Raw genomic sequence first — 8,969 nt, forward strand, 5'->3', positions numbered from 1 at the left:
GCCACAAACAATAGCATGAGCGATCTGTACCTTAAGGAAATGCTCCTGCTGCAGTTAACTAGCCCAACCTATTCCTTTAATTCAGCCCATCCCTTCTTTTCCCATAAGGGATACTTTTAATTAATTTAAGATCTATAGAAACAATGCTAATGACTGGCTTGCTGTTAATAAATACGTGGGTAAATCTCTGTTTGGGGCTTTCAGCTCTGAAGGCTGTGAGACCCCTGATTTCCCACTTTATGCCTCTATATTTCTGTGTGTGTCTCTTTAATTCCTCTAGCGCCGCTGGGTTAGGGTCTCCCCGACCGAGCTGGTCTCGGCATTCTAGAATTATATTAATGACAGTGGGATCAGTCCTGGGAGTGGCTTATGCCCTATTATGCTTTGCAGAACTAGGAGATCTTCTTGGTTTCTGAGTGCATAAGATGGTGGATACAGGAGTGGAGGTTCTGGAAGGTGTCAGTGGAAGCCTGAACCTTTGACAGTAGCCCAGGAGCTGAGAAAAATGTTTACAGAAATCTTCCCAAAAATGCTAGTGATATATGTTCATAAAATGTATAGCCACCATGAAGGACATCGGAGTTGAAAGACACCAAAGTTGCAAATTCCTTAGAGAATTAAAGATGAATCATGTAGATAAGTAGCCTGAACTTTCTGAGACCTATGTTGTCCTAAGAATCTATTGATTCTGCACTACAATTTGCAGCAGATGATTTTGAGTAGAGCCTAATATGATGATCTTTTCTTTGCTAATGCAGATAACAATTTTCAAGTTGGCTGACTGAAATAAGAGTCAAGTAGTAGAATAGGATGCACATGGACAAATTTACATCCATAATGACCATTGTTTTGTGGAGCTCCTACTTCAGGTTTTGCTGCATTCTGTGTTCAATACATATTTATAAGAGGACTGACATTGTTATATCTTAATAAATCTTACTTCTCGAGGGATTGATATTCCTAAATATAGTAAGAACAGTTCCAAAACAACACCTGAATAGGCTCTGTTTCAAAGATTTGCAAATGTGACTATAACAGAGAAGAATATATAATTTCTTCCAACACCAAGAGTTAAGATTGGCTTTCATTTTACCACTAAATTTGCTTATAGGAATATATTGATTAATTTGTGTTTATCTATGGAAATTAAGTCTATGCTATTGAGAAATTCCAGAGTATATACTCTATTTCTTTGAAAATGAATTCGCAGGAAAGGTCCTAGGGATGGACTTTCAGGGCAAGTATAAAGGTAGAGATCAACCCATGTTCAAACACTTGAGTATGTACTATCAGTGCTCTGCCCACATCCCAAGGTCAATTCCATTTACTTGTGTACTGCCTCCTTAGTGCTTTCTCTCTGGAAGGGCTGCCTTCAGGCTGCTGGAAATGGCTTTGTTTTTGTGCAAAAGGGAGCAGAGAGTGCCTGGGAATTTGGCTTCCCAGAGCCAGTCCTTAACCAATGACTGACAGGTGCAAGGTAATAAACACTCCAACTTCCTTGCCCTTAATGGGACAGCAACCTACACTATCTCCAGAGGTCTCTGTGTAATTGAGCTAAGCTACATTCTCAAAGAGTTGGCTTGAGATCTCACCCTTGAAGAGCTTTTTTTCCTATCATGTTTCCTTTCCCCACTTCCCTACTGTTTGCTCCCTGAAATACTTCCCAGTAAATCAGTTTTATGTGAATCTGCATCTTAGGATCTGCCCCTGGGACCCCACCTCAGACACTTACCATATGGAATTGGAATTGTACTGTAGTTCTGAATACATTTTTATTCTCTGACTTTTCTCTTAGAACATTATTGCTTCTTTTTTTTCCCCACAAAAATTGCTCAATGGCCCTTTATAGGGTTTAAGATAGGCATGCACTTTAGAAAATTCATAGCACATTTTACTAAATCTCCATTTTTTTTCCTATTAGCAGGTTATTTGCTAATAAAAAGAAACTCAAGTTATTTTTATACTTGAGAAGGGAATTCCTCTTTCTCTTTAGCATTCAGATTCGTGAATCTGCTTTGTAAACAAGTTGCTTTCTATAGCATAATTTATTTTAGTGGGTTGAAAATAATGCTAAAAATATATCTGGTATCTGCATAAAGCTATATATATAAGAAGAAAAGGGAAAAAATGAGAAGTGGGGGAAGGATGTGAATATAGAATCTACCATGTAGCACACACTGTATATGCAATCCGAAGGATGAGAAGTGAAGGAATTTGCCCCAAGGACACACAGACAGTGACGATCCAGCCAGGGATTTAAACCAGAACAGAATAGAAATGAGTGAAATTAAGTTCCTTTGTGTTCTAGGAAAAATAGCACTCTTACATGTTATGATAATATTACTTTTATTATCTTGATGCAAACACATCAATCTTGGTTTGATTGCTACTGGCTCATTTTCTATAGTATTTCTATAGGATTTCTTTGGCCTTTCCAGGTTTTTCCATTCTCATAGCCAAATGGCTGTGAGGTATTAGTGGACTGCTGCTACACCCTCTGCTCACTCTATTTTTGAACAGGAGGATCAGCATTGGCTCTTTTTAGTGCGGTGTGTTGTGTTATGTCTTTGTCACTAGAACACAGCTGTGGTGTCCCAATTGCTTTTTCCACAACATTAAATATTTTTTTTAATTATAGTCCTACAGGCTCTCCATCAGTGGATGGAAAGTACCTTTTTGCCAGTTGCTATCAACACCCATTTGTTTTGGCACTTGTGTTTAGCTTAGGAGGATAGACTGATTTGTCTTTGATCCATACACAAGCCAAACTTAGGCCTTGGACGCCTTATTCTTCATTCCCTCTTACTCACAGGAGGAGAATTGATTGATCCATGTGCTGTTTCCTTGTGACATACACCAGGCCCCAGAATTTGAATACTTACCAGTAGAGAGAAGGCTGTGTTCATCTACCCAGTCCCCACTCACAGAAGTAGCTGAGTGTCTCTGAATAGCTGTAGATGGCTTTCTTCTGTATGTTTTCCTCTTCTGAATATTTATGTGTCATTTATCCTCCTCAAGCCCACTATTACTTGGGCAAACTTCTAATTTCCTTGTAGCTTTCTGCTAATTTGATAATTTTGTGTTTATTTTAAATGAAATGTCAGAGTTCAGAGTTTAGAACTGGAAGCAACTTTAGAGGTTATCTAATTAAACCCTATTTAATTTGTCCAACTCATGATGTAAATTATTTCCAAATTACAAAAGTCATATGTTTTTGAGTTCAGAAAACTTTGAGAACAGAAAGGAGAAAATAACAAAGATCATATGTAGATGTATTTTGCATGTGAGAAGGACATGAATTTTGGGGGCCAAGGGCAGAATGCTGTAGCTTGAATGAATCCCCTTCCAAATTCAGGTGTTGAAACTAAATGGCCAGTATGATGATATTAAGAAGTGGAGCCTTTAAGAGGGATTAGGCCATGAGGGATCCTCCCTTGTGAATAGGATTAAGGGCCACATAAAAGAGGCTTTATGCAATGCTCCATCTCTTGCCCTTTTACCTTCTGCCATGTGAGGATGTCATAAGACCCTCACCAGACAATGAACCCGCTGGTGTACTGATCTTAAGATTCCCAGCCTCCAGAATTGTGAGAAAATAAATTTCTGTTCTTTATAAATTACCCAGTCTCAAGTATTCTGTTATAGCAGCACAAAACAGACTAAGACAGTATGTAGTATTACTGTCTGGTAGTAACCGCTGCTGATATTTTGATGTATATACTTTAAAAAATATTGTATTATGTCTGTAATTTTAAAAATATTGTAGACATTTAATTTTCTTCATTTTTTCTAAGATATTTTAATTAAGTATGTTATATGGAAATGCTTACTTATTGTTAAAAATGCTAACAATATATATACATTGAAAATTTCCCTTAATCTCTCTTCCTTGCCCATATCCCAAATCTGTTTCTTCTAGACATAATCACTGTAATCAATTTAGTCTGCATCCCTTCATATCTATTTCCCTGTATTTACATATACATATGTACATATAAAAATATTTAGTTTTGTTTTATATATATTACGTTAATCACGTCATCATCTGTGCATTTGTCTGAAGTTTGCATTCTTCACTTATAAATGCTTTAAACATCTTTTCATATCAATCTGTCATGTAATTCAGGGTCCAGATAGAAAGCAAATGGATCAACTCCAACTAAGTAATTTGATTGAATCTTCATAAACTAAATTTTATGGCCGTGTATAGGGAAATCATAGGCAAGTACCCTGAGATTAGTAATAATAAAGACACTCCTACCACCTCTAGACCAGAACAGGGAAGGGTGAGAGGAGGAGTTTTTGGGGAGAGGGAGAGGTTGTGAGAGACAGAAAAAGAAACAGCAATAGAGAGAGAGAGACAAAGAGAGACAGAGACAGAGAGAGTTGTGTGGAATGGGCTGCTTGGCAGGGCTGAGACCTTCAGTGGAGGGAGGCAGTCAGTCTAAACCAATTCCACAGGGAGGGAATCAAGGAAATAAAAAGCTCTCCATCCCTTCCTTTCTATTGTGGATTGCATATTTCTATCCCCCTCCACCGCCTCAAAATTCATATATTAAAGCCCTAACCTCCAACATGATAGTGTTTGGAGACGGCGTTTTGGGGAGGTAATTTGGGTTAGATGAGGTCATAAGGACAGACCCTCATAATGGGAGTAGTGCCCTTATACAAAAAGAGAAAGGGAGTGAGAGCTTGCTCTCTTTCTCTGCATGTGCGCCGACTGAAAAAAGACCATGGAGCACATAGCAAGAAGGTGGCAGCCGGGTGCAGTGGTTCTTGCTGGTAATCCCAGCACTTTGTGAGACTGAGGTGGGAGGATCCCTTGAGCCCAGGAGTTTGAGATCAGCTTGGGCAACATAATGAGACCCTTGTTTTTACCAAAAAAAGAAAAAAAATGAGCCTGGTATGGTGGCTCACACCAGTAGTCTCAGCTACTCAGGAGGCTGAAGTGAGAGGATTGGTTGAGGCTGGGAGATCGAGGCTGCAGTGAGCTGTGACTGCACCACTGCACTCCAGCCTGGGTGGCAGAATGAGACCTGTTTCAAAACAAAAACAAAACGAAACAACAAAACCACAAAAACAATAAGAACAAAAGATGCCATCTGCACATCTGCAGGCCAGGAAGAGAGTCCTTGCCAGAAACCAAACCCCACTGAATCTTGATCTTGCACTTTACAGCCTCCAGAACTATGAGAAAATAAATTCCTGTTGTTTAAGCTACCCAATCTGTGGTATTTTGTTATGGTAGCTTGACTAGACCAAAACACCCTCTTTGATATTGGAGGGAGATTCTCATTGGCTGAACAGAGTCAGAAGCTGGAGAGAAAGGGAGTATGTTGATGCTATCCATATATGTCAACCTTCCAAGGAACAGTATTGGCATGTTCTTATAGATTTGTTAATTCTTTCAATAAAGAATCCTCAGTGCTTCTTTATGACAGACATTGTTCACAGTCAAGGGAATAAGGTCAAAAAAGTCATTGTCCTTCAGGAGTTCATATTTTATTAGAGTTGGTGTGCCATAGAATACAAAGTATTTCCTAGCTAGCACATACTAGAGTTTGTTAATCCATTACTGATAGGAATTTATGCTGTTTTAATTTTCTTTATTTATGCAGTGTTGCATGAATTTTCTTGTTTGTGCATCTTTCTGCATATGTAAAAATACTTCTTTCAGGTAGATACTAAGAGATAGAATTGCTGGATTAAAAGAAATATGCATATTTAATATTAAACAGGTGGATTTAAATTACACTTCTACTAATGGGGTGTAAGAATACTTATTTCCCCTTACTCAGCAACAGTTATCATTCTCTCAAAGTTTTGTCAATCTTTGGGAAGCAGGAATAGTTGGTAATTATTGAGTTTGAATCTTCCTGATTACTGGTGAGAATTAGAACATTTTAATGTATTTATGGCTGTCTGAATTTCCTCTTTTGTGAATTGCCTTGCCTGTTCATATGCTTTGGTTGCTCTCTCTGTCTTTTTTTTTTGAGATTCATTGTCGTTTAAATTTATTTCTAAGCATTCTTTATATATTTTATGTTTTATTCTAAGTCTTGTTCTGTTTGCTGTAGTAACACTGTTTGCTCAGTGTCCCTTAGGTTGTGTTTTTGTTTGGGGCCACTTAGAATATCCTGGTGCTGGTATTCCTCCTGTGTCCACCAATGTTTGGTTGAGCTCATGTTGTAATTACTCCTGTCAATGCTTTATCTCTTTGTGACTCCTGATCTGTAATGACTGGGGGTCTATGCCAGTAGGTGGAATATACCTGTAGCTTTTCTCCTAGGAATGTAACTCCCCTGTTTTTCCTGGGTATTGCTAGTCATCCGGAGCTCATATCTGTCCTAATACCCTGGCTAACGTGCCCCACCTCACTGCTCAAGTCTGGTGGCAGATGACTTTGCTGCTGAGGCTGGACATGGGGAGGTTGGAGAGGGGTAGGCTATCTGATTACTCCTGCTGACAGGTCCTGACCAACCACTCTCCCAGCTGCTGATGGACCCTTCTACTCTCTCTAATTGTTTTTCTGAGCCAGATGTTCCCTGGAGTCATTCCTGCCTTTTATGCCTGCCTTTTTTTCTGGGTGTATTATGTGTTGTAGTTTTCCATTTTCCTCTAATCCCATTTGCCTTATGTCTGTCAGGGATTCCTCATAAATTTAAGTGCCCAAGAACACTTCTTCTTGTTTATCAGGGCTATTACAGAATTTATATATATTTTTATATTCTGTCATGACCGGAGATTTGCAGTCAGAGGAAGAAGGCTGGAGCGTGATCTAGCCCAGAGATTGTCAAACATTTTCTATAAAGGGCCAAATAGTAAATACTTTAAGCTTTGCAGGCAAGATGGTTTCTGTCACTACTCAACTCTGCCTTTGTAGTGCAAAAGCGGCAAATGATGAATGGATGTGGCAGTGTTCCGATCGGCCTGATTTACGAAACAGGATAGAATTTGAACCAAAGACCTGACCTAGATCCCTTTCCCTTTATGGAAGAGATGAAGCATCTGTGCCTAGACAAGGTTGAAATATCTGCCCTAAGCTACTCAGCTAGTGTGAATGGAAGAACTAGGTTGATCACCTCATCTGCTTACTCAGCTGTGATCTTTCCTCCACTTTGCTGTTTTTGCAGGGTTAAAAAGACTCCTAAACAGATCTCAGTTCTCCCAGAGCCTTGGAAACAGTGAAGTTACCTTCAGTTTCTTTTACTTTTTGTTCTGTGACTTAAAAGCAAATAAAGTCCAGGCTAAGTTACTTAACTATGGCGCTCACTGCTGTTGACAAAATTATTCAAATTCTGTAAAATGTTTGAAAAGATTTGTTCTGAGCCATATATAAGTGACCAATGGCCTGTGACGCAGCCCTCAGGAGCTCCTAAGAACATGTGCCTAAGGTGGTCAGGGCACAGCCTAGTTTTAGACATTTCAAGGAGACATGAGACATCAATCAAATACATGTAAGATTTACATTGGTTCAATCTGGAAGGGCAGGACAACTCAAAGTTGGGGGCAGGTGGGAGGGGTTTCCAGGTCATAGGTAGATTTAAAAATTCTCTGATTGGCAGTTGGTTGAAAGATTTATTATCAATAGAAAAGATTGGGTTACTACAAGGGGTTGTGGAAACCTAGGTTTTATCATGCAGATGAAGCCTCCAAGTAGCAGACTTCAGGGAGAATAGATTGTAAATATTTCTTTTCTAAAAAAAATTTTTACTTTAAGTTCCGGGATACATGTGCAGAATGTGCAGGTTTGTTACGTAGGTATACATGTGCCATAGTGGTTTGCTGCACCTACAACTGACCTATCCTCTAAGTTCCTTCCCCTTGCCCCCCACCCCCCAACAGGCCCTGGTGTGTGTTGTTCCCCTCCCCTGTGTCCATGTGTTCTCATTGTTCAATTCTCACTTATGAGTGAGAACATGTGGTGTTTGGTTTTCTGTTCCTGTTAGTTTGCTGAGGATGATGGCTTCCAGCTTCATTCATGTTCCTGCAAAGGACATGATCTCATTCCTTTTTTTTTTCATTTTTTGAGATGGAGTCTTGCATTGTCACCTGGGCTGGTGTGCGGTGGCATGATCTTGGCTCGCTGCAACCTCCACCTCCCGGGTTCAAGTGATTCTCCTGCCTCAGCCTCTCGAGTAGCTGGGACTACAGGCACACGCCACCACATCTGGCTAATTTTTGTATTTTTAATAGAGACGGGGTTTCACTATTTTGGCCAGGCTGATCTCGAACTCCTGACCTCATGATCTGCCCACCTCAGCCTCCCAAAGTGCTGGGATTACAGGTGTCAGCCACTGTGCCTGGCCCCTTTTTATGGCTGCCTAGTATTCCATGGTGTATATGTACCACATTTTCTTTATCCAGTCTATTATCGATGGGCATTTGTGTTGGTTCCATGATTTTGCTATTATAAATGGTGCTGCAGTAAACATACGTGTGCATGTGTCTTTATAGTAGAATGATTTATATTCCTTTGGGTATATGCCCAGTAATGGGATTGCTGGGTCAAATTGTATTTCTGGTTCTAGCTTCTTGAGGAACTGCCATACTGTCTTTCACAGTGGTTGAACTAATTTACATTCCCACCAAGTGTAAAAGCATTCTGATTTCTCCACAGCCTTGACAGCATCTGTCGTTTCTTGGCTTCTTAATAATCACTATTCTGACTTGGGTGAGATGGTATCTTACTGTGGTTTTGATTTGGATTTCTCTAATGATCAGTGATGTTGAGCTTTTTTTCATATGTTTGTTGGCCTCATAAATGTCTTCTTTTGATAAGTGTCTGTTCATATCCTTTGCCTACTTTTTGATGGGGTTGTTTTCTTCTTGCAAATTTTTTTAAGTTCGTTATAAATTCTGGATATTAGACCTTTGTCAGATGGGTAGCTTGCAAAAATTTTCTCCCATTATGTAGGTTGAGTGTTCACTCTGATGATTGATTCTTTTGCTGTGCAGAAGCTCTTTAG

This window comes from Homo sapiens, chromosome 5 (assembly GCF_000001405.40).
Source record: "Homo sapiens chromosome 5, GRCh38.p14 Primary Assembly".
In the NCBI taxonomy this organism is placed as follows: domain Eukaryota; kingdom Metazoa; phylum Chordata; class Mammalia; order Primates; family Hominidae; genus Homo; species Homo sapiens.